Source organism: Homo sapiens, chromosome 7, assembly GCF_000001405.40.
Source record: "Homo sapiens chromosome 7, GRCh38.p14 Primary Assembly".
Taxonomy (NCBI): domain Eukaryota; kingdom Metazoa; phylum Chordata; class Mammalia; order Primates; family Hominidae; genus Homo; species Homo sapiens.
The window spans coordinates 67614723-67641583 of record NC_000007.14 but is presented as its reverse complement, the minus strand read 5'-3'; the positions used below and the strand labels follow the sequence as shown (position 1 = coordinate 67641583).

General features: G+C 45.7%; 2 pseudogenes, besides 1 other annotated feature; both read right to left on the bottom strand.

The window, feature by feature from the left end:
* Positions 9548-9729: a silencer, noted in NCBI's record as "fragment chr7:67096842-67097023 (GRCh37/hg19 assembly coordinates)". NCBI's record gives its function as "represses an EF-1alpha promoter that drives an FKBP-Casp9 reporter gene in an ReSE screen in phorbol 12-myristate 13-acetate-treated (for megakaryocytic differentiation) K562 erythroleukemia cells {active_cell/tissue: K562(+PMA)}" and the evidence as "EXISTENCE:reporter gene assay evidence [ECO:0000049][PMID:32094911]".
* MTCO3P41 (MT-CO3 pseudogene 41) lies at positions 13235-13562 on the bottom strand (annotated as a pseudogene).
* On the bottom strand, positions 13565-13753 carry MTATP6P21 (MT-ATP6 pseudogene 21; annotated as a pseudogene).

Sequence of the window (26861 nt, the reverse complement as noted above, 5' to 3'; positions counted from 1 at the left end):
GACAGGGTCTCACTATGTTGCCCGGACTGATCTCAAACACCTGGCCTCAAGCAATCCTCCTGCCCAGCCTCCCAAGTAGCTGGGACTACTGGCATACACCACCATGCCCAGCTATTTTTCAGACACAAGGTTTTGCCATGTAGCCCAGGCTAATCTTGAACTCCTGGCCTCAAGCAATCCTCCCACCTCAGCCTCCCAAAGTGCTGGGATTACAGGCATGAGTCACCATGCCTGGCCCATGGCAGACATTGCCCATTGATCCCTGCACTCTATGCTGAGCTCAGCCTGGGTCTTTGGGTCTGTTTTCACATCGTGCCCCAGAAAAGCACTATCAATTGGCTAAAATTGGTTCAGATGTCATCCTTCCCCTAGAGCCTAGCAGCATTAAGTACAGCCAAGACTTACAGGGTGCTTGTATTAGTCCATTTTCACACTGCTGATAAAGGCATACCTGAGACTGGGCAATTTAAAAAAAGAAAGAGGTTTAATGGACTTACAGTTCCACATGGCCAGGGAGGCCTCAGAATCATGGTGGAAGGTGAAAGGCATGTTTCACGTGGCAGCAGACAAGAGAAGAGAGCTTGTGCAGGGAAACTCCCCTTTTTACAACCATCAGATCTTGTGAGACTTATTCACTATCATGAGAACAGCATGGGAAAGACCCACCCCCATGAGTCAATCACCTCCCACCAGGCTCCTCCCATGACATGTGGGAATTATGGGAGCTACAATTCAAGATGAGATTTGGGTGGGGACACAGCCAAACCATAGCAGTGCTCACTGTGTGTTCCTGGGGTGTTAGCTATGCTAACTCATTTAATCCTCAAAATGGCCCTGTGAAGTGGGAACTCTGTCACTAACCCCATTTTACAGATAAGAAAACAAAGGCACAGAGAGATTAAGTGCCTGTCCAAGGTTACAACTAGCAGATTGGGTTTTTGGTTTTGCTTTGTTTTTCAACATCTATTTTAGATTTGGGGATACACGTGCATATGCAGGTTTGTAATGTGGGTATATTGTGTGATACTGAGGTTTGGGACTGTGACCCTAAATCAGGGCCTACATCACTTGGAGACCTCCCTGAGGGCCACTAATGCTAGTACCAGAAAGGCCTCAAAACTTGGACAGCCTCATGGGATCTGTGATGGACCAGGGCCTCCACATGGTACACAAATGAGAAGGGAAATCAAAAAGAAATCACACCTCAAAGAAAAAAAATGATCCCATCACCCAGGTAGTGAGCATAGTACCCAATAGGCAGTTTTTCACTCATTGCCCCTATCCCTTTCTATCCCCTCTTATAGTCCACAGCATCTATTATTCCCAACTTTGTGTCCGTGCATGCCCAATGTTTAGCTCCCACTTATAAGTGAGAACATGCAGTATTTGGTTTTCTGTTCCTGCATTAATTGGCTTAGGATAATGCCCTCCAGCTTCATCCATACTACTGCAAAGGACATGATTTCTTTCTTTTTCATGGCTGCACAGTATTCCGTGGTGTGCATACACCACATTGTCTTTGTCCAATCCATCATTGATGGAAACCTGGGTTGATTCCTTGTCTTTGCTCTTGTGAATAGTGCTGCGACAAACATACGCATGCATGTCAATGAAACTTGGCCTTACCAGGTATATATTCAAAGGGAAATAAATTGTTCTGTTTTTAGTAGAACAATTTATTATCCTTTGAAATATATACCCAGTAATGGAATTGCCGGGTTGAATGGTGTCTAACTCTTCCATTGAGAAATCTCCAAACTGCTCTCCACAATGGCTGGGCTAATTTACATTCCCATCAACAGTGTATATATGTCCCCTTTTCTCCCAGCCTTGCCAATATCTGTTATTTTTTTACTTCTTAACAATAGCCATTCTGACTGGTATGAGATGGTATCTCATTGTGGTTTTGATTTGCATTTCTCTGATGATTAGTGATGCTGGGCATTTTTCCATATATTTGTCGGTTGCTTGTGTGCCTTCTTTCGAGAAGTGTCTGTTCCTGTCATTTGCCCACTTTTTAATGGGGTTGTCTATTTTTTGCTTGTTGATTTGTTTAAGTTCCTTATAGATTCTGGACATTAGTTCTTTGTCAGATGCAGAGTTTGTGAATATTCTTTCCCATTCTGTAGGTTGTCTGCTTACTCCCTTAATAGTTTCTCTTGTTGTGCAGAAGCTCTTCAGTTTAATTAAGTCCCACTTGTCAATTATTGTTTTTGTTGCAATTCTAGCAGATTGTTGAAGCTGGATTTGAACACAGGCTTCCGGACTACCCTGAGGGATGCTGCCTGGGTTGCCAGCACAGTCCCCTATCGAATCTCCATCCTGTCTTCAAACCACCACAGAAATATGAAACCCAATGACAGGATTTTAGAGAAATTTACAGCATTTTCTAAAGTGCTTTAGCTTTTTATCCAAACTCAAAGAGAGGAGCTAAAATGAATTAAATTATAATTGGACAATATGGGTTTTTTGACTTGTAATTGTCGTAATTAATTTACCATCAATATAATGCAAGGAGTTAAAAATAATGGATTGGAAATGGTTGGAAACCCATTGAAAATGTAATATGTACAAGAGAAATACTCATCTTACATATAAAGTACTTAACCAAATATGACATCCTCTAATAAATCTCTCCCTTATTCATTATGGGCTGCCTATGTTACAGTTCACAGTCGAGCTTATCAGTCGCACATAAGAGCTGGTGCAATTGCCTTTTATATGTGTGTGTGTATATATATATATATTTTTTTTTTTGAGATAGAGTTTCACTCTTGTTATCTGGGCTGGAGTTCAATGGTGCAATCTCGGCTCACTGCAACCTCCACCTCCCGGGTTCAAGCAATTCTCCTGCCTCAGCCTCCAGAGTAGTTGGGATTACAGGCACCTGCCACCATGCCCAGCTAATTTTTTTTTTTTTTTTTTTTTTTTTTTTAGTAGAGACAGGGCGATCCGCCTGCCTCGGCCTCTCAAAATCCTGGAATTACAGGCATGAGCCACCACGCACAGTCACAACTGCTCTTTAAGTCTCTCTCAAACCCCCTTTTGGCATCAGAATAAACTTCACGACAGTTCACTCTTTTAAAGCCTCCGCTTTTGGGGCTTGGGTACTCATTCTTGCAAGAGTCTCTGTGCAGGGCCCAGAGCCAGAGGCAGCATCGAAGATCCTGGAAACATCAGCTCTGGTAGCAGAGTAGAGAATCAGCAAGAAGAAAGGCATTGTTCTGACATCAGGCAGAGCTGGGTTCAAATCTCAGCTTGGCCACTCTGAGCCAAGTGATTTCTAACCTCTCTAAACAATAGTTTCTTGATTTTTAAATCGTGGATAAGCATATCACCTTCTCAAAGGGTAGCTGTGAGAACTTAGAGCAAATTACAGATAATGCATTGGCATGGTGCTTGGCATATAAGAAGCACTGCTATTCATTTTAAATGTTTTCTTAATATTATAATCTACATAAGTATACACTAGAACCAAATGCAAAATCTTTGTGCATTTGTAGAAAACATGCTACCTTCCTTCTCTCCCCAAAGGCCACTTTTCAAGTACCCACACATAGGTTGGGCTAGTGGCCAGGTAGGGTGGCTGACACCTGTAATCCTAGCTCTTTGAGAGGCCAGAGTAGAAGGATTGCTCAAGGCCAGGAGTTCAGGACCAGCCTGGGCAACATAGCAAGATCCCCATGTCTATAAAAAAAAAAAATTGAATTAGCCAGATGTGGTGGCAAGTGCCTATAGTCCCAGCTACTCAGGAGGCTGAGATGGGAGATCTCTTGAGCCCAGGAGGTCAAGGCTGCAGTGAGCTATGACCGCGCCACTGCACTCCAGCCTAGGTGACAGAGCAAGACCCTGTCTCTAAAAAATGAAAAATAAAAATAAACTGGACTAGTCATAGGGAGCTCACAGGACCACTGACAGGATTACAATTATCACTGAATATTCATGATGCCCTTCCAGGTGCCAGGAGTTGTGCTGGGAACCCACACAAAGCAATGCATAAAACAAGGTTCTTGCCTTCAAAGAGCTCATAGTTTAGCATGGGACAGAAAACTAACAGGCTTCAAGAACTGCAGGGAGATGAATGTGTGTAGTAGTGTCTGCTGAAAAATCGGAGCTGCTTCAGGTAAAAGCCCTATGCCCCAACAATCACGCCCTGCGCCCGACCTTCTAGCCCAGCGCGACCACCAGAGAAAGCTGGATTGATGGCGTAGGTGCTGAGATGAGCAAGCCACAGCTTCAGAGAAGCCACAGAGCAGGCTGGTTTGGGAACTGGAGAACATCCGGAACCCTCAGGGTCTGGATGGACCCAGACCCCAGGCAAATTGAAATCAACATTTGGTGGGGAGAGGAAAGTTGGAGCTGAAAGGGAAAGCCATTCCTGAATTCCAGGCCCTCCAGAAACAAGGCTGATGGCAGCCAAACTAGCTTCAGGCCCCACCTGCTGGTGCAGCTCAAATATCACCAAAATGAAAGCCACAGCAAGATGCACTTTCTGCTGCCAATGCCCAAAATAAATCAACGTCCCCCAGGTGGGAATTGCAGAAGGGAAAGCCTAGTTTTGTGCTAGGAAGGAAGAAAGGAGAAGGGGAGGAAGGAAGGAAGAAAGGAAGGAACGAAGGAGGCAGGGAGGGAGGGAAGAAGGGAGGAACGGAGGGAGGGAGGGAGAAAGAACAACGGGAGGAAAGAAGAAAGGAAAAGGGGAGAAAGGAAGAAAGGAAGGGAGGAAGGAAGGAAGGGGAAAAAGAAGAGAGGGAGGAAGGGGGAGGGAGGGAGGAAAGAAGGAAGGAAGGAAGGAAGGGAGGGAGGAAGGAGGGAAAAAGGCAGGGAGATAGGGAGGGAGGAAGGGAGGGAGGGAAAAAAGGAGGAAGGAAGAAAAGGAGAGTGGGAGAGAGGGAGGGAGGGAGGGAAAGGAAAGAAAAATTCAGGGCTGTCTCCAGAACCCATGAGGACAACACGCCAAGGGAGCTGTGCAGATGAGGCTTCCAGGGCTGCTGGAGGTGGCAGCTGCTGCTTGTTATTTCAGTTTTGCCACCAGTCTGGGAGATGCTGCTTTGCTCTGAACAAATCCGCATTAAGATGAGAGAGATGTCTAGACACATTTAATCCAGAAAATCCGTCTTTCTGAAAGGAAATCACTCTCTACTTGGTAGAGATATCAAGAGGGAGTTGTAAAGGGATATAAAAAGCATGGATTTTGGCATCAGACAGATCTATGTTCAAAACCCAAGCCTCACACTAGATACCTTTGCTCCTGGGCAAGTCAGAATCTCTCGGAGTCAGATTTTCTGATTACAAATGGAAAGAAATCATGCTGACCTCACATGACTGTTGTCAGGGTTATCATTTCATACAATATTCACTGAGAGCCTTCTAGGTGCTAGGAACTGTGCTGGCATCTACACAAGCTAATGAATAAGGCAAGGTTCTTGGCTGGGAGCGGTGGCTCATGCCTGTAATCCCAACACTTTGGGAGGCTGAGGCAGGTGGATCACGAGGTCAGGAGTTCGAGATCAGCCTAACCAACATGGTGAAACCCATCTCCACTAATAATACAAAAATTAGCTTGGCGTGGTGGTGGGCACCTGTAGTCCCAGCTACTCAGGAGGCTGAGGCAAGAGAATCACTTGATCCCAGGGGGCGGAGGTTGCAGTGAGCCGAGATTGTGCCATTGAACTCCAGCCTGGGTAACAGAGTAAGACTCTGTCTCAGAAAAAAAAAAAAAAAAAAAATAGGTTCTTGCCATCAGAGAGCTCATAGTCTGCTATGGGTGGATAGCTAAGAACCATAGGATCTCGTGGGTAGCTGTGTGTCTACTTGTACAATGGAGAGTCTAAAACACAGGAGGGAAGAGGAGAGAAGGGAAGAGTCCCTGGAAGAAATGGAATAGAGTGTCTCAAAGGTTGAGTTCCAGCTTTCTGGTAGATAAGATGCCTCTGGCATTCCACGAAGAGGGGCCTGCCTGAGCCAAAGGCACAAGGATAGAACCAGAAAGTGAAAAGGGAAAAACAGCAAGAAGGGGACAGCAGAGGTGAATGGGGTGGATGGAGGCCCAGCTGAGGAGGGGCTCACTAAGGAGTCTGTGCATCCTTGTGCCAGCGCAATGCTTTAGCTCCAGCCTGGCCTGCTCCAAAAAGGCTTTGAAGAAGCCAAGACTGAACTTCATCCAAAAGTCATTGAAAACTTTAAGAAGCAGCATGATTGCTGGGCACAGTGGCTCATGCCTGTAATCCCAGCACTTTGGAAGGCTGAGGCAGTTGGATCACTTGAGGCCAGGAGACTGAGATCAGCCTGGTCAATGTGGTGAAACCCTGCCTCTACTAAAAATATGAAAATTAGCTGGGCATGGTGGCGGGCACCTGTAATCCCAGCTACTCAGGAGGCTGAGGCAGGAGAATCACTTGAACCTGGAAGGCGGAGGTTGCGGTGAGTTCGTGCCACTGCATTCCAGCATGGGCGGCAGAATGAGACTGTCTCGAAAGAAAAGAAAAGAAAAAGAGAGAAATGGTATAATTAATCCTAAGTGTCTTAGTCCGTTTTGTGCTGATATAAAGGTAGACTGGGTAACATAAAGAAAAGAGGTTTGTTTGCCTCATGGTTCTGCAGGTTGTACAAAAAGCATGATGCCAGCATCTGCTTCGGGTGAGGCCTCAGGGAGCTTCCACTCATGGTGAAAGGCTAAGGGGATCCAGCATCACACGATGAGAAAGGGGGGGGAAAGAAAGGGGTGACCGGGCGCAGTGGCTCATGCCTGTAATCCCAGCACTTTGGGAGGCCAAGGTGGGTGGATCACCTGAGGTCAGGAGTTCAAGACCAGCCTGACCAACATGGTGAAACCCTGTCTCTACTAAAATTACAAAATTAGCCGGGCATGGTGGCAGACATCTATAATCCCAGCTACTCGGGAGGCTGAGGCAGAAGAATCTCTTGAACTTGGAAGGCGGAGGTTGCAGTGAGCCAAGATCACGCCACTACACTCCAGCCTCAGTGACAGAGCGAGACTCTGTCTCAAAAAAAAAAAAAAAAGAGAGGGGTGCCATGCTTTTTTTTTTAAAAAAAAGCCAGCTCTCTCATGAACTAATGCAGGGAGAACTCACTCATTACTGCAGAGACAGTGCCAAGCCATCATGAGGTCTCCACCCCTGTGACCCAAACACCTCCCACCAGGCCCCACCTCCAAATTCGGGAATCAAATTTCAACATGAGATCTGGAGGACACTCATATCTAAACTACATCAATAAGATATGTGAAAATGTCTGACACCAGTAAGTGATCCGTACAACCTGGTTTCCTTCTATGCACTGAGATGGGAAGCATTTCATTATCAGGATGCTTCCATCTTCCAAGTATGTTTCTAGTGTTTTATTGCCCCAGTGTCATCTGGGGGGTGGGGGAACCAGATCGGTTTCGTAGAGGAAAAGGAGTGAAGTTGTCTCAAAGGAGACCAAGCAAGCTGCTCTGCAAAGAAACCCTAGTATGCTGTGGCTTTGACAGGAGAGGAGCACATTTCTCTTCTCCATACCCTTTCAGAATGGGCAGACAGGATCTGTGCCAGGGAGTCCAGGAGGGACCTAGGCCTTATCTGTGTCCTTGGGTTTGGAGTTGGTACATGACCACATCTGCGTTTGAGCCACACGACATGGAAACAGATACATCCACTCACATCCTATTCACCTGGACTCAGTTCTATGACCACGTGGATGTTGAGTTTGAGATGCTACCAAGTTGTCCAAGAGACAGCTAGAAATGCAGAACTTGAGTCTAAGAATGGGCAGGAGCCAGGCACAGTGGCTCATGCCTGTCGTCTCAGCACTTTGGGAGGCTTGAGGCAGGAGGATCACTTCAGGTCAGGAGATCGAGACAGGTCTGGGCAACATAGCAAGACCCTATCTCAATCAGTCAATCAATATGAATAAGTCATAAATAAACCTGGTGACATGCCAAGCACAGGACCTGGGTCTCTAATCAAAATTCCTGTCTTGCTGGGCCCAGTGGCTCACGCCTGTAATCTGCTTGAATTCAGGAGGTTGAGGTTGCAGTGAGCTGTGATCGTGCCATGCCACTCCACTCCAGCCTGGGTGACAGAGTGAACCCCAGCATAAAAATAAAAAAAGTGCAGGGGTCAGAGGTGATTCTCTTGAATGTATTGAGCCTGGAGTCCCTCATCTTACAAAATGTGATATTGGCTGCTGAAGGCCATGGTGTCAAAAAATAATAAGGTGGCGGTAATTTAGCCTCTGGCTGCTTGCTCACTGCAATAATTTGGACAAGTTACTCACCGAACTTCTCTGAGACTATTTTTTCATCTGTAAAAATTGGTTGTGATGATGATGATAGAAATCTAAATGAAATAAAACACAGAAAGTGCCTGGTTCATGGTAGGTCTATTGAATGCTGTCTTTCCTTTCTTGTGAACAATGCTAATTGACATGGAATTTCTGAGTGAGACTAAAGTGCATTCAAAAGGTTTAGCGTGGGGGGTGGGGCCACTGGAGTCTTTCTATCCAAGAGAATATCATTAAAGCTGGAAGCTACAGTAGGTCAAAATAATAGGCAGTTGGAAGTCACAGAAGGGCCGGGTGCAGTGGCTCATGCCTGTAAGCCCAGTACTTTGGGAGGCTGAGGCAGGAGGATCACTTGAGGCCGGGAGTTTGGGACCAGCATGGGCAACATAGCAAGACTTCATCTCTACAATTTTTGTTTTTACATAGCCAGGCATGGTGGCATGAACCTGTAGTCCCAGCTAGTTGGGAGATTGAGGGGAGGCGGCAGGCAGGAGGATTGCTTAAGTTCAGGGGGTAGAAGCTATAGTTGCAGTGAGCTATGATCCAGCCCCTGCACTCCAGCCTCTGATACAGTGAGACCCTGTCACACACACACACACACACACACACACACACACACAAGAAGTCACAGAAGTGAAGAAGACACTTGTCTTTCAGCCAACATCATTAAGTATCAGTAAGTGCTAGACCTGGGCTCAGCTCAGGAGACACATGGCCTGGTTGGCAAACGGGTGGCTTTGGAGGGGACAGTTTGAGATTCAGTTCCAACTCTGCCACCCAATGATTGAGTGACCTTGGGAAAGACATTGCATCATTTCACTTTGTTCATTCATAAAATATTACCTTGCTAGGATATTGGACAAGCTGCTGAAAAGGTAAGTGATGTGCCTAAGTTGGAACCAGCACTTAGTAGGTACTCAATGTAGAGTAAAGGTGATTATCATCCTCATGATTATTACCACCATCACGATTATTTCCATCATCATTTGTTTTTGTTTTTGAGACAGGGTCTCTCTCTGCCGCCCAGGCTGGAGTGCAGTGGCTTGATCACAGTTCACTGCAGCCTCAAACTCCTGGGCTCAAATGATCCTCCCACATCAGCATCCCAAGTAGTTGGGACTAAAGGTGTGCACCACCACACCCAGCTAATTTTTTTTAAATTTTCTTTTGTAGAGATGGGGTCTCACTGTGTTGCCCAGCCTGGTTTCAAACACCTGACCTCAAGTGATTCTCCTGCCTTAGCCTCCCAAAGTGCTGGGATTACAAACACAAGACAGTATCATCATTTTGATCATGTAACCTCTGCCCTAAAGAAGCTGGCAGTCTGCAGGGGAAACAGATGTTTGGGGCATAGGGTTAGAAGCATGCCAAGTACTTCAGCCGTCCTGGGAAAGTTCAGCAATAAGGGGATCCTCTTCTTGGAATAAAGCTGAGCTCACACCAAAAGCCAGTTAAGCTCTTCTTCTGCACCACACATCGGGAGGGGCAGCCCAGCCTGGAGCCAGGGGCTCTCGCACAGGTGGTGGAGCGGAGGAATGTATCCGGCCCCTCCAACCTCGCAGCTAGCTGAGTACAAGTCTCCATACACACAGGAGACGCACAAACACAGGCTGCCTCCCTCCCGAGTTGTGGTACACGACGCCACCCTTCTGCGTGCACAAGCTGTCCTGGTAGCTGATGCCAGCATCTCCGTGGCAATAGAAATGTGTTCGGTTCCTCCTCCCCCTACCCCACTATGCCTGGCAAAAAGTTAACGGCGCTATACTTCTCTTTGAGTCCATATGCCGCCTCAATTTCTGATCAGAGATGTTACAAATTACAGTCTGTCTCTGCAGAAAATTAAAGTAGGCTCATTTCTCTTTCTGTGTCAACACATTAGTTTCAGTTGTTTGAGAGAATGTGCTAGATGGTGTTCTCTTCGTTTGAAGATAATTTTCTTTTCTCCGCTCTCCAATGACAGAATTCCTGGTTAAGACGTTTCCCTCCCCTCCCCTTCCTCTTGCCCCCGCCTGATTTAATCTGCCTGGGGCAGCCAGGTTGTTTTGCAATCAAAGTTTGCAATCTAACAATTGGAAAAGAGATTAATTAAGGAAGAAAGGATTTTCTCTCTTTCTTTCTTGTGGGTTCAAAGGCTTCTTTAATAAGAGGAATCAATGGAAATGGAAATAAAAGAGCGGGAACTAGGTCCCTGAAGCCTCCTCCTTTCCCCCCTAGGTCTCTCCTATCCGCCCCCAATGCACAAGGGTATTTGACAGCCTTTTCTTGTACCCCTCCATCTCAGATGCCCTCTGAGAAATCAATCACGTGCCCCTGCGGGGAGGGATGCGGGGAGGGATGAGATGGACAGGGAGAAGTTTAAATGGGATTTTTATAAATTTCATCAATACTCGCACAAAACAGAAGCGGGACAGCTTTATTGATTTAAACATTAAAATAACATGTGCTTTCTCTGCATTGTCCCAGAGGTGATAATGTTTCTTATTTTTAATCTAGATTGAAATCTCGGAGACTTTCCACAGGCCCCTTGTGGTGATTACCAAAGATTAGTAATAACATGTCTAATTAGTGTAGAAAGACAGAAAAATCGATGGCAGTGTGGGATGTTAGGCTGACTGACGGAGCTCAGAGGAGAGGCTGGGTGCCTCTCCAGAGATGGGAAATGCCCAGTGGGCCCTGCTCAGCACAGGGCCCTGGGAGTCAGCTCACACTTGTCAGATGAGGCTTTCCAAGTTCCCTGATCTTCTTTCTTTGAGCTTTTGATGTCTTTGTTGGAGGAAATGGTAAAAAGAAGAGAGCAGGATTCATTGGCGGGGGAACCAAGTCAATCCAGCAAATGCCCGGATGATCTGTTTTGCTTTTCGGTCCAGTATTTCCCAAGGACCGGCAGGGAACAAATGCTAGGACAGGCACTGGAGGGACAGGAAGGAAAACCCAGCCCCTGGTCTCCAGATACCCTGTCTACTGATCAACAGAGTTGTGTCAGTGGTGGAGCCTTTAGAGCCTCATCTCCAAAGTTAATTCCCAATGATGTGTTTGGTTCCATCTGGGTGGGAAAGGAGGATTCCACGGAGAGCTTCATCCCTTACAAGACAGCCAAGTCTCTGCCCACTGTCCAAGGGCCTTATGGGTGGCCAGTACTAACCCTTTCCCTTCCCTTCACCCACTTTCAGATCCCCCTTCCTTCCTTCTCTTTCTCTCTCTCTCTCTTCCCCAAGTCCCACAGTGACCTAGTACTGACAACAGAAAACAGCCCTGCAAACTCTCCTGAGAGACTCTTCCTCCCACACCCAAGAATTTTCTTGGGCCCTCTTTTTCTTTCTTAGGGCTTCTGTTTCTGCTTAATTGTATGGGAGGAGGGAGGAAGGAAGGGAGCTCGGAGAGTCGTAAAGAAGCAGATAAAAGGAGGGAACTACATGGGGACACACAGATATAAATATATAGATGACGCCAGGCACAGTGGCTCATGCACGTAACCCCAGCACTTTGGAAGGCCAAGGCTGGAAGATTGCTTGAGCCTAGGAGTTTGGGACCAGCCTGGGCCACCTAGGGAGATACCGGACCAGCCTGGGCAACCTAGGGAGATCCCGTCTCCATGAAAAATTTTAAACATTAGCCCAGTGTGGTGGTGCGTGCCTCTAGTCCCATCTACTCAGGAGGGTGAGGCAGGAGGATGGCTTGAGCCCGGGAGGTGGAGGCTGCAGTGAGCCATGATTGTGCCACTGCACTCCAGCCTGGGTGACACAGCAAGACCTTACCTCCAAATAAATAAATATATAAATATAGAGAGTGTAGGTTACATATAAATATAGCTCACCTTACAGGTTATGTAGACAAAAAAAAAAAAAAAAAAGTGTCCTAAGAGGTATAGTGAATTATCTTAGCAACGCAGATAAAGGAAGAATTAAGTCTTCCACAGAGGTGAGATAAGGAGAGAGGGACAGCTTGGAGCTGGCTCTGGAAGCATGCAAAGGCGGGAAATGGGGAGAGAGCTCACGGGAGGTGGGGTAAGGACTGAGGGACCCATGGGGCTAGAGCAGTGACTGTCTCCTCTCTCCAACCCTTCACCCCATCGTGATCTCGCTCTGACCACACCTCTCCACCAGTGCTGCTTCTGCAGCCACCAAAGCCCAGACAGTCTAACCCAAGGGACAGGATCCAGTCTTTGTTTGGCTGGATCTGGCTGCTGCATTTGACCTTGTGGACTACTCACTCGTAGAAACGTCTTCTTTGATTTCTGTAATTCACGGCCTCTTGGTTTCCATGACTTCTCTCAGTCTCCTTTGCTGGGTTTTTCTTTCTCTTCTCTGTTGATAACGCTGTGGCTCCATCCAGAGTTAACGCGCTGGGCATTCTCCCTTGGGATGCCGCCATTCACACCCACGGCATTACCTCCATCTTTACCTTGGTAAGTCCCAAATCTCCTTGACCATCTCCTATCTTCCTTTTCATCTTCAAACCCACAGGTCCTATGCTGTCCATGGAATTTTATCCGGGATGTCGCACACCCAGGCACCACCCATTTAAAGTGTTCAGATTCAAACTCTTCTCTCCTCCGAGAATGGCTGGGCCATCTGGGTGGGTGCCGCCATCTTGTCGGGGCCATGCTTGTTCTCCCAGCTACCTCCATAGTACCTGTCCTTCTCTTCAGCCCCCTCACAGCCTAGAAGTCCTGAGCCTGGAAGATCATCCCTTCTACACCTAGTAGTCACAGGAATCTGTAAAGAATCACTCTCCCTTCTCTGCAAAGTATGCATCTAATTCTTTACTCATGTATGCCAGTGTAGACACCTGGATATTGATTTTTATTCAATGTGTTATAATCCATGACTATCATTGTTTTTGAGACAGGTTCTCGCTCTGTTGTTCAGGCTGGAGTGCAGTGGTGCAATCACAGCTCACTGCAGCCTGCACCTCCCAGGCTCAAGCGATCCACCTGCCTCAGCCTCCTGGTAGAACGCTCAGAAGAAACCAGTGAAGAAGAGCACCTCTGAAACAATGAATAAGATCATTCCATATGGAAGAACTTTTTGGATGATTGATGTATGGTGGCCTTGGAATGTGCCTTCTCAGATAATATCACATCATCAATTGATATGTTATTAATGTATTGGTTAGTAGGGAAGGGAAGGGAAGGGAGGGGTAGCGGAGTCAGGAGGGTAGCAGAGTTAGAATGAAATCATATGGCTAGGCTGGATGCTACTAGTAGTGCTGAAAGGGCTCCCATCAGTGGTCAGGGGCTAGGCTTGGCCCATCTGATAGGCATGAGTTTGGTGGGTCATTATGTGTTGTCATGGAAGTAGAGGCTTACTAGTAGTGTAAAGATGTAGGCCTGAAAAAGGGCTACAGCAAATTCGAGGGTGGTTAATAAAACTAGAATAATGAATGTACTTGAAGCTGTGGGTAAATTAATAGTTGATAATATTAGTATAGCTCCTCCAATTAAGTGCATTAGTAAGTGGCCAGCTGTAACTGGAACTAAAGGTGTGGGCCACCACATCCAGTTAATTTTTGTTGTTTTTTTTTTTTTGTGGAGATGGGATTTCACCGTGTTGCCCAGGCTGGTCTCAAACTCCTGGGCTCAAGCAATCTGTCCGCCTCGGCCTCTCAGTAGCTGGGACCACAGGCTGGTGCACCACCACGCCAGGCTAATTTTTGTATTTTTTCTTTTTTTTCCTTTTTTTTTTTTTTTTTTTTTGTAGAGATGGGGTCTCACCATGTTGCCCAGGCTGGTCTCAAACTCCTAGGCTCAAGCGATCTGCCTGTCTCGGTCTCTCAAAGTGCTGGGATCACAGAAACGAGCCACCACGTCCGGCCCATTATTTTACTTTGTTGCTCAACTTGTCCCAAATTTGGTCACTGGGAGCTCCTTCAAGCCGGTTCCTGTGTCCTTCTGACATGCCTCCATACTTCTGTTTTCTCAAATAGTTTCTTACTTTTTGGCATCACAAGATCTTCTAGGCTCAGGACCTTTTTGTCATTTGCCCAAATCTCAGCAAAAGCCTCCTGCTGTTCTCACTGCCTCTCCCCTTAACCCCTCTCAGGTAGCTTCCAGGCTGCAGCAGAGCTAGCCTTCAAGACAAATGCAATTACCTTATTCTTCTGGTCAATAGATTCCGAGGCTCCCCACTGGCTTCAAGATGAAGCAAAAGCTCCTCCCAGGCTCAGCACACAAGGTTCTATGTGACCCACCTTTTGCCAGACTCTATAGCCTTGGAAGTTGCTGCTCCCCTAAACATCACCCCAGCCAGATGGAGCCACAGCTTGCATTGCCACTAACTAATACATTAAGCTGTTTCATTAATTGGTCACTTTTTTAAAGCTGAGACTCTACCTGGTCCTAGGCACTGGGAATAAAGTCAACATTGAAGACAAGGTGCCCGCCCACTCAGAGCTCATAGACCAGTGTGGAGAGGCAGAAGAACAAAACAGAAAATAAAACAGAAGCCAGGCGTGGTGGCTCATACCTATAATCCCAGCACTTTGGGAGGCCAAGGCAGGAGGATCACTTGAGCCCAGAAGTTCAAGGCCAGCCTGGGCAACATAGTAAGACCCCATCTCTACAAAAAAATAAAAATAAAAATAAGCTGGACAAGAGGCAGGCACTGTGGCTGATGCCTGTGATCCCAGCACTTTGGGAGGCTGAGGCAGGCAGATCACTTGAGGTCAGGAGTTTGAGACCAACCTGGCCAACATGGCAAAACCCTGCCTCCACTGAAAATACAAAAATTAGCCAGGTGTGGTGGTGCACACCTGTGGTCCCAGCTACTCGGGAGGCTGAGACAGGAGAACCGCTTGAACCCGGGAGGCAGAGGTTGCAGTGAGCTGAGGTCACATCACTGCACTCCAGCCTGGGTGGCAGAGCGAGACTCCATCTCAAAAAAAAAAAAAAAATTAGCCAGACATGATGGTGCACATCTGTGGTCCCAGCTACTCAGAAGGCTGAGGCGGGAGGATTGCTCAAGCCCGAGGAGGTCTAGGCTGCAGTGAGCTATGACTGCACCACTGCACTCTAGCCTGGGCAACAGAGCAAGACATTGTCTCAAAAAAAAAAAAAAAAAAAAAAGAGGAATGAGAATAAGGTCAAATGCATTAAAGGAGCACTAAAGGAGACAGTTGTAGGAACACATTAGGATGTCTTCGTTCAGACTCGGGGTCTGAATATTTGCTGCTCCCGCAGAGAAAAATGTCCTTCTTCCTCTTGTATATCAGCTGGTACTTTTCTTCTTCCAGGATTCAATTCAAGTGCCAGCTTCCACGGTTAGACCTGGTGAGCAAGGTTTTCCCGTCAGGTACCCACAGCACCCCATCCTTACAGAGTCTTAACTCTTGATTTGTTTCATGACGTCTGCCTTTAGATTTACAGCCAAGATCTTTTTATTAATCCCTAGAACAGAGAGCCCAGTCCAAAGCCGACACTTGATAAATATTTTTTGTAGAAAGTGAATAAATGAAGTGCTCAAATTTTTGAGCTCATGTCTAATGAGAGAGGGCACAGAAAGTCATACTGAGCTTGCTCCTCCCTCCCAGAGAAGCAAGTGTGGACACCTTGGAATTCCTGAAGGAGTGTCTCTTAGAGGGCTGCATCCCTACAGTCTCCCCTGGGAGCAGGACAGAGGAGCTAGGGTGTCTGTAGCGTCTTGAAGATGTGCAATTCAAGCGGGGAAGACGGAGGGTTCAAGGGCTGGGAGAGGCAGCACACCAGTGCCCAGCCAGTCGATTTCCAGGGTGAGCTGGTCCATCAGAGGAGGCTCGGGATGTGAACTGAAAGGGCTGAGCCCTGAGAACGACGACCTCGGAGGATTCAAGCCTAGAGCGCCTTCGCCAAGCTCGAGATTGGGGGCGTGGCTCATCCATGGCTATTCCCGGGGGCCTCTGCAGGGAGCTGGATCTGCCAGGCCGGCAAGATGAGGCAGGACAGAGTGCCAACAGCGACACCATGTGGCCATGAGGAACCATAGCAAGATCTGATCAAATCAGTGGGAGGGGGGATGAAACCAACCCTTTTGGATTGAGATGCTTGAAAAAGTCAAGAGAGGGATGAGCTTCAAGAGGGAGATACTAACTTCTTAAAAATAAGGCATAGTTTTAATTTATTTTTTAACTTTTTTATGCTTTGGGGGATGGAACAGGGTCTCGCTATGTTGCCCAGGCTGGAGTGCAGTGGCACCATCACAGCTCACTGCAGCCTCCACCTCCCAGGCTCAAGCAATCCTCCCACCTCAGCCTCCCTAGTAGCTGGGACTACAGGCTTAAGCCACCACACCTGGCTAATAATCTTTTTTTCTTTGTAGAGAGGGGGCTTGACCAACTCCCATGCTGGTCTCAAACTCCTTTGAAATAAATTCAAATTTATTTTTAAAAGTTGCACCCACAGTACAAGTAATTATCATAAACCCTTAGCAACTTTCTCGAAATATTAATGCATTTTACACAGGCACAATGCACTCATCTACATTAGTCAAAGTTGATGAGATACTGTAAATTAACCTACACATCTTTCTCACGCTTCTCCGATTGTTCCACGAACAGCCTTTATCTGATCCAAGATCCTATCTAGGATATGATGTTGCCTTCATTTGTTGGGTCTCTTTAAACATCCCCCTGTCTAGAATAGTTCTCAGTCTGTTCTTTCATGATCTTGCCATTTTTGAAGAGTACTAGCCAGTTAGTTTCTAGAATGTCCCCAAGTTTGGATCAGTCTGAGGTCTCCTCATATCTAAATTCAGTATTTGAAGGCAAAAGCACCACAGATGTGAGGCTGTCCCCTTCTCAGTGCATCAGGCCAGCAGGCTCATGATGTCACTGTGTCTTCTCTCTATTGGGTGAGACTCTCTCATCTGAAAATCCAAAATCTGTGAGGCTTGATGCTCCAAAACCCAAAACTTTTAGAGTGCAGGTGGAAAATTCCACACCTGACTCATGTGATGGGTCACAGTTAAAACACAGTCAAAACTTTTTTTTCATGCACAAAATGTTTAGAAATATTGTATAAAATTACCTTCAGGCTATGTGTATTAGGTGTAAATAAAACATCAATGAATTTTGTCTTTAGACTCGGGTCTCATCCCCAAGATATCCTATTATGTACATGCAGATATTCCAAAATCCAGAAACATCCAAAATCCAAAACACTTCTGGACCCAAGCACTTCTGATAAGGGATACTCGACCCATAGTGATCTTTAAATTTGATCACCTGATAAAATTGGGATTACTGGGATCTCTACTGTAAAGTTACCATTTTTCTCTTTGTAACTAATAAGTATCAAAGGGGATATACTTTGAGATTATGTGAGTATCACTTTTCTCGCCACGCTTTTGCCCACTCATTTCAGCATCCATTGATTTTTGCCTAAAGCACTTACTACTCTGGTGTTTGCCTATTTCCATCATCCCTTCTACATTTAATGATCAGAATTCTACCGTAAAGAAGTGCTTTCCCCACTCTTCAATTTATTTATGTAATTATTTACTCATGCATGCCAGTGTGGACTTCCGGATACTGATTTTTTATTCTATGCGTTGTAATGCATTACTATCATTATTTATTTTTATTTTGTTGCCCAGCTTGGCCCAGATTTGGCCACTGAGGGCTCCTTCAGGCTGGTTCCTATGTCCTTCTGGCATGCCCTTCCTCTTCCCCCCAGCCAAGTAATTTACTTTTTGGCATCACAAGATCATCTAGGTTTATCCCATGCTTTCTCTGCCCCAGCCTTGGAATTGGACATTGACAAATACTTTGACACCCAATAACCACTCATCCCAACTACTGTGGAAGCGCTCTAAAACTGTGCCCTGTGGTAGATGTGATCATTGCTCCCTCTGCGCAAGGCCCAGCATTTGATCATTTATTTGCTCAATAAATTACTGATTATTCGCTGAAAGAGATTTGTGGCATTTATTCATTGGTTCAGCAAGAACGCACCAAGTGCTTACCACGAGCTAGACCCAGGCTGCTTGTTGAAGATAGAAATTAATCAAACCTGAACCTCACCTCCAAGAGCTTAGAAACAAGTGGGAAGGAAGACAGGCCAGTCAATATAGTCAGAGCATCGCATGAGGCTGAAACAAAGGCACTAAAGACAATAGTCATCACATTCCAAAAGAGATCTAAGACACGCACAAATGACATAACCAAAGAGCTGTCTGAATTATAGCTTAATAACTCCTAAACCTCCCACCCATACCAAGGGTTAAGAGTTGGAGATCGGAGAGGCCAGGCGTGGTGGCTCAGGCCTGTAATCCCAGCACTTTGGGAGGCTGAGGTGGGCGGATCACGGGGTCAGGAGTTCGAGACCAGCCTGGCCAACATGGTGAAACCCAGTCTCTACTAAAAATACAAAAAATTAGCCAGGCATGGTGGTGCACACCTGCAATCCCAGCTACTCCAGAGGCTGAGGCAGGAGAATCGCTTGAACCTAGGAAGCAGAGGTTTCAGTGAGCCGGGATTGTGCCACTGCACTCCAGTCTGGGCAACGGAGCAAAACTCTGTCTCAGAAAAAAAAAAAAAAAGTTGGAGATTGGGGATGATTTTTGCAGACAGCTTCTTTGAAGAAAGCTGTACTTAGTCCCAACCTCACCCCAATCCCCCACCTCCAAATAGAAGAGACACTTCTGCCTGACCCAGGTTTGGCATCAGGGACTTCAAGGAAAGGAGATAGCAAAGGGTTTTAGGACTAGCTGTTGATGTACTGTAAATCTTACTTCCTATCAAGGGTGAGGACTGCAAGGTGCCTGCTCTTCTCCTTGAGCTTGGAGAAGGGGGCTTTGGGGCTTCAGCAGAAACCCCCAAATATATGGTTACTATATATCCCCTCTATTAGAAGACAAAAGGGTTTGGTCTATTTCCTACCCAAGAAACATGAAGGTGAGAGATGGGTTAGCTAGCTGCCAGCAGACAAAACCCCAGAAGAGGTGCTTGCATTTGAAGTCTTCCTGTTCCAGAGCATGTCAGGACAAAGCATCCATGTGTGTCTCCTATGGACCAAGTGTGGTTTTAGACCTCATCCAGGAGGGCTGCAGGGAGAGGCAGTGGACTTCAGCAGAGAGAAGCTAGAGGCACCTCTGGAAGTGAAGCAGCATCGTTGTCTAGGGTAAATACCCAAGGTTCGTTTTCTCACAGCCACAGAAAACTAGGATGCGGACACACCGGAGTGAGGTTAAGAACAGAAGTTTAATAGGCAAAAGAAAGAGATGAGCTCTCTCTGCTGCAGAGGGAGGGGTCCTGGGGAAATGGGTTGCCACTTCTACAGTGAAATCCAAGGGGGTTTATAGATGAACTTGAGGTGGTGTCTGATTTACATAGGGCACCAAAGATTGTTTGGACCAGATGTGCCATTTGCATAGGGCGGGAAAAACCTGGCTGCCCCCACCCTAATCTTTTACTATGCAGATGAGCTCTTTGCCTGGCTGGTACCATGTTGCCTGTTCCTTACTGTACACGTGGTGACAAAGAAAAGGGAAGATAAAGCCTCCATGTCGAACATACCTGGCCCCAGGTAGCCCTTTACTATGGGCACAGCTGCCAGCATTCTCCTGTGCAAGCTTCCAGCTTGCTTATTTATGTTTGCAGCTTGATTTTTCAGGCTGCCTTTTGTTAGAAAAGAAATGATTTGGGGGTGGCTTTTTTGTTAAAAGGGAAATTGCACCGAGGACTCTGTTGCCCTTACTATCTGCCTAAATAATTTCTTTCTATCTCCTGTATCAGAAGTTTAGGGGCCAGATAGAGTGAGAAATGGATTCAAGGAAAATGCACCATTCGCACCAAGGGAACTGCAGGTGGGAAGCCTCAGAAATGGAAGAAGGGTCTCCAAAGAATCAAAGCATCCACAGAAGTGCCCCCAAAAGGGGACATTCGAGGCAGAGTGTCACCTGATGGTTGTCAATTTCCAGGCACACAGATGGTTGCTTCCACTTCACCTCCTCTCGCTCTTCATAACCGCTTCCCATCAGGGTCAGAAGGTCCAGGTAGAAAGATCACAGAGGAGGAGGAAGAGAAGCAAGAAAAGAGAGGGGACAAAAAACGGCCCCGTGCCTGAATTTTCTATCTGCACCAGCACAACAGGGAAGCATGAGGCAAAATCAGCTTTAAATTAGGTTGAGAATGTTGGTTATCACATGAGACTGGGACTCTGTTTTATAACTTAGATTGGCTACAGGAGTTTTCCTTCCCTACAAGCGATCGGAGGAGTCCAGAGGCTTGCCCCTGGCCATGAAAAAACAATCCCCATGTAACTGCCCAGACAGAGCCCGTTCATCTTGCCCGATGCCCAGACACAGCCAATTTATCAAGACAGGGGAATTGCAGTGGAGAAAGAGTAATTTACACAGAGCCAGCCGTGCGGGAAACCAGAGTTTTATTATTAAATCAGTCTCCCCAAAAACTCAGGGATCAGAGTTTTTAAAGATAATTTGTCAGGTGTGGGCTTGGGAAGTGGGGAGTGTATGATTCCATCTATAGGGGGTCAAAGTGAGTTTTTTCTTGCTGTCTTCTGTTCTGGGTGGGATTGCCGAACTGGTTGAGCCAGATTACCCGTCTGGGTGGCGTCAGCTGATCCATCCAGTGCAGAGGCTACAAAATATCTCAAGCACTGATCTTAAGTTTTACAATAGTGATGTTATCCCCAGGAGCAATTAGGAGAGGTTGAGACTCATAGAGCCCGAGGCTGCATGAACCCTAAACTGTTATTTCTAATCTTGTAGCTAATTTGTTAGTCCTGCAAAGGCAGACGCGTCCCTGGGCAAGAAGGGGGTCTTTTCAGGAAAGGGCTGTTATCAATTTTGTTTCAGAGTCAAACCATGAACTGAATTCCTTCCCAAAGCTAGTTCGGCCTATGCCCAGGCATGAACAAGGACAGCTTAAAGGTTAGAAGCAAGATGGAGTCGGTTAGGTCTGATCTCTTTCACTGTCATAATTTCCTCAGTTATCATTTTGCAAAGGCGGTTTCACCCACCACCCATGGGAGCAGACTTAAGGGGACAGCGAGAGACACATACAGATTTGCTTTATGGTGACGGCCCATGCTTTGTGTTACTTAAACAAATGCAGCATGAGCAAAGCCACGTAAAACCCCAAGGGGGGAAACTTTACACAAACTTCTTGATTTCCTGGTGCCTCTGTGCCCTAATATGAAAGCAGAAAGAAAGGAAGAATTTTGGCTCTGGCTCTCTTTGAGAGTTTTAAGAAGATAATGAAGAATTTGGAAGGCTGAGGCGGGCAGACCACTCAAGGCCAGGCCAGGAGTTCTAAACCAGCCTGGCCAACATGGTGAAATCCCATCTCTATTAAAAATACAAAAAAATTAGCTGGGCGTGGTAGCGCACACCTGTAATTCCAGCTACTAGGGAGGCTGAGGCAGGAGAATTGCTTGAACCCACGGGGCGGAGATTGCAGTGAGCCGAGATCGCGCCACTGCATTCCAGCCTGCACAGCAGAGCGAGACTCCATCTCAAAAAACAACAACAAAAAAGAAGATAATGAAGAAGAAGGGATATCTATACCTAGACTCTGGGCTAAGCCTCTTTCCCATGCTGGAATATTTAATCGGTGCCTAAAACAGAGAAATGCAGTGAGATGTCAGATACAATCCGATGAAAGAAAAGCATTTTTGTCTCAATGGATGCCCTCAGACTAGAAATCTTCATTTATTGCTCGGCTGATAGGGAAGGAAGAACAAAAGGGCCAGACAGAACTCCTGGATTCAATCAGCTCTCTCTTTTATATTATTTTCTTTTTCTTCAGAAGCACTTTTCACCACCTGGCAATATTTCCCCTTTTAAGCCAGGATTTGTGCTTTTAAAGCTTTATAAAATGTGCAGTTCAGGCTTCGTTTTCCTGGCAGGCAGAACTATTCTGTATTCCCAGGGCCCTCCCGTCCCCGGCAGCAGTTCTCTCTGGCTGATGTCACCGTGCGGAGAGGCAGCGCCATCACCTGCCCAGAACACATTCCCTGCAAACCAAGCCAGCAAAAGGCTCGTGGTGAGCAGATGTTTCTGTTTAAGGCTGATAGGAAGTGCAGGGACCATTTTTCTCCCCGTCAGTTTTCAAGTGCAAGAAGCAGCTGTGTGCCAGGAACACAGACCTGGATTCTAACGAGGTTCGGGGCTGAGCTGGGCCCCCCGAGACAGAGGCCCGACCAATAGTAGGATGAGGTTATTCACCAAACCCAGGAGAAAGCAGGTGACAGGCAATTTAAAAAGAGTCTGGAGGAGGAATGTCTTGTTTTCTGGGAAGAGGCTGGATATTTTTTTGCAAGCATAATCAATGGGAATGGTTGACTTAAAGTAATCTCTGCTAGGGATTGTTGTGCAGAGGAAAGGAGGGGCTGCTGATTTTTCCATGAATTGTTTGCCGCCCAGAGCACACTCTTGCATTGAACACAGCCCACACTTCCATTTCCAGAACCCTAACCTACAGCTTTTCAGAGATTGTACAGGCAGGTTGGTGCAAAGTGGCCTGACAGTCCGCTCACGTAATATCAACGAGCTCAGGTTAGCACTCACTGCATTCTGTTATAACCTCGGGACAAACCAGGAGCCCTCACACCTCCACCTGTGAAAACACTCCTTCCAACGAAGTGTTTCCCAAGCCCCTTGAACTGGCAGAGTCAACACAGGCTTTGCAGAAACACTGATGGATCCAAACAACCAAATATGACTTCGCAAACTCAGATTCTAGCTCATAGGAGTTTCTGCTATGATCGTTATGGTAGCAGGAAAACAAGTTTCTGATGTGGTTTTAGGGTGAGAAAATTAAAATGAAGAAAATTCCTAGCCATCGACTTCAATTTTTCTACAAATTGGAAAAAGACTGCAATTATTCTTTAAATAGAAGGTTATAGAAACAAATCTTTCATTTTATAGTGAAAACCCCACAGACATAGAATAAAATCCATCTGGGAAAAAAAAAAGACATTCATTTAAATTCACTGTAAAATATAACTGCTTAATATTAGAAACTCTCCTATGTGCACATGTGATAAGGGAGGGAGAGTGTACCAGAGAAAATAAAAGACATTGCATTTACTGAGTGATTAATACAGATCAGAAAGCTTTCATACATATTATCCCATTTCATCTGCACTACAATTCTAAGAGGTAGATATTATTATGCAAATTTTGCAGATGCAAAAACTTAGGCTCAGAGAGTTTAAGTAACTTGCCTAAGATAATAAAGCTACTAGGGCTGGGCACGGTGGGTCATGCCTGTAATCCTAGCACTTGGGGAGGCTGAGGCCCGCGGATCACCTGAGGTCAGGAGTTCGAGACCACCCTGACCAACATGTAGAAACCCCATCTCTACTAAAAATGCAAAATTAGCTGGGCATGGTGGCGCATGCCTGTAATCCCAGCTACTTGGGAGGCTGAGGCAGGAGAATCGCTTGAACCCAGGAGACGGAGGTTGCAGTGAGCCGAGATCATGCCACTGCACTCCAGCCTGGATGACAGAGCAAAACTCCTTCTTGGGAAACAAAACAAAACAAAAACAAAAACAAAAAATACAGCTAGTAATAGTGAGGTCTGGAGAGTTGTCCAATTAAATAACTTTATAAATCTGCTTACATGAGTCATATAATGGGAAATCTGCTTCCATGAGTAATATAATAATAGGAAAGGAAACCCTGTATGTATTAGGCAGTATCATGTCTATATCACACATTATATTAGATTTCATACAATACTTTGTGTTATATAAAATATATGTGTGTGTGTGTGAGAAGGAACTAAAAGTTTCCTGCAATACTCAAAGATAACTACCTTTCTTCTGTGTATATATGTGTGTGTGCACACACACATTTAAAATGGAATTGTTAGGCCAGGTGCAGTGGCTTACACTTGTAATCCCAGCACTTTGGGGAGCTGCGGCGGGTGGATCACAAGGTCAGTAGTTCGAGACCAGCCTGGCTAACATAGTGAAACCCCATCTCTACTTAAAAAAAAAAAATACAAATTTAGCCGGGCGTGGTGGCTGGCGCCTGTAGTCCCAGCTACTCGGGAGGCTGAGGCAGGAGAATCACTTGAACCCAGGAGGCAGAGGTTGCAGTGAGCCAAGATCACACCATTGCACTCCAGCCCAGGTGACAGTGCAAGACTCCGTCTCAAAAAAAAAAAAAAATGGAATTGTTACCGGTGCTGAATCCATACAGGTCTGCAGCAATCTGAATTCTTGCCTCTTCTGAAGAAAGAATTCAACCAAGGGGCATAAGGGACAGGGAGGGACTCAGGTAAGTTTTAGAGAAGGAGTGAAACTCTGTTAAAAAGTTTTAGAGCAAGAATGAAAGGAAGTACACTTCCCTTGTAAGAGGACAAAGCGGGGGACTTGAGAGATCAAGTGCAGTTTGACCTCGGACTTGGGGTTTTCTAGGTTGTTCTGCTTCCGGAGGGTTTCGTCCCTTCTCCTCTGATTCTTCCCATGGGGTGGGCTGTCCATGTGCACAGTGGCCTTCCAGGATCTGGGAGGGGCCGCATCCACAATGTGTTTCCTGAAATTGTACGCATGCTCACTTGAGGCATTCTTCCCTTACCAGTCAAGTGTTCCTAGAGGAAGATCATATACCAGTGAAACTCCACCATTTTGCCTCTTAATGCGCATGCTTGAGCCCACTTGCCCAACTCCTGAGGTCTTACTGGGAAGCTGATCACCAGTTTCAGATTTTTCTGTCTATTGGGAGACTGCCTTTCCTTGGTGCAGGCTGCAACCGATTATTATTTTAGAGAGTTTAACAACCACCTGACCACCACCTGATGGTCGCCTGACATTCCTGGTGGGGTCGGGGGGCTCTCCTGCCCTTCTCACGTCTGTCTGATTACCTACTGGGACAGAATCATATTGTACATGCTATTATATCATCTGCATTTTCATTTTACATGCTCTGGTCATGACCCTCCATCTTCCTCACTGTTTTTCATTGTCCCATTATACTCCATTGCATTCTTGTACCAAATTACTTTTAACCATTCCTCTATTGGATAGATTGTATCTGATTTCTGTTATAAACAATGGTGTAATGAATATCCTTGGAAATAAACCCTTGCCTATACCCAGAGTTACTCTTTAGAATAAATTGCTACAAATGAAATTTCTAACTGAAAGAATAAGAACATTTTAAGATTTTTTGATAGGAATATTGTAAAATCATACGTCAAAAAATTGTGCCAGGTTAAATCAGTGTGTACAAGTTCCCATTTCCTCAAACTCTTACCAACACTGGCATTGCCTTTCCAAAAAAATATCATTTTTTTTTCCTTTGAGACGGAGTCTCACTCTATTGCCCAGGCTGGAGGGCAATGGAGTGATCTCGGCTCACTGCAACCTCCATCTCCTGGGTTCAAGCTATTTTCCTGCCTCAGCCTCCTGAGTAGCTGGGACTACAGGTACACACCACCACGCCCGGCTAGCTTTTGTATTTTTAGTAGAGACAGCGTTTCACCATGTTGGCCAGGTGGGTCTTGAACCCCTGACTTTGTGATCCATCCACCTCGGCCTCCCAAAGTGCTGGGATTACAGGAGTGAGCCACCACGCCCAGCCCAAAAATGTCAATTTTATAGTAAAAATATACATCTAGTTGTTTAAATTTATTTATTTCCTAGTAATACTGAGCTATTTTGATGTTTCTTGGCAATTTGCATATCATCTTTTGGGAATTACCATTTATGTCTTTTGCTGATTTTTTTAACTAGGTCAATCATCTTCTATTTTATTGATTTGTACACTTTCTCGATATATTAAGATCATCACACTTTTTCCGTAATATATGCTGCAAATAGATGTTCCAGCTCATATTAAGCCATTTTTCTGTTTTACCGTGGTAATGTTCCAAACTGCAACTTTAAATGTTTAGTTTGTCAAATGTATCAATCAACCTTTAAATTTCCGTCTTTGACTGGAACATTAAAATCAATGCATGTATTATCCTAGCACTCTTATGCATTCTGAAATTTAATTTTCAAACAGTAATGTATTGACTAAAATCATTTATCTCACTTTATTAATACATTAGGTTATTACATATACTTAGGTCTATTTGTGCGTTTTAGACTCTTCCTTTGATTTACTTGGGTCTAAGCCAGGGCCACTGGCTCAAATCATTGTAGGTTTACAGTATGTTTTCATATCCAGTCACTGGAAGCTACTTCTTTCTAGCTGCAAAGCCTACGTTTTTCCAATAGAGCCTATCAGAGGATTTGGGGAGAAGGTTGTTACCACGATGGAGTTATGAAGAAAAACTCTTATTTTGAAATTACTTCAACTCTTATTATGAAATTACTTCATAATTTTCACCAGAGCTGGTCCTGCCCAGGAAAGTGAAATGAACAGAAGATTGACTGAACTGCAGATACCAAACTGAGACTATCTTTATGGAGTTGCAAAAGATTAATTCCATCTTGGCAACATTAATGGAAATTAATGGAGGACTAGTATTGTGTGCTGAGAACTGTGCTAGATAGTGGAGACATGCGAATGAACAAGACAGAATATGTGAAGCCAGGTGTGGTGGCTCACGCCTGTAATCCCAGCACTTTGGGAGGCTGAGGCAGGCAGATCACTTGAGGTCAGGAGTTCGAGACCAGCCTGGCCA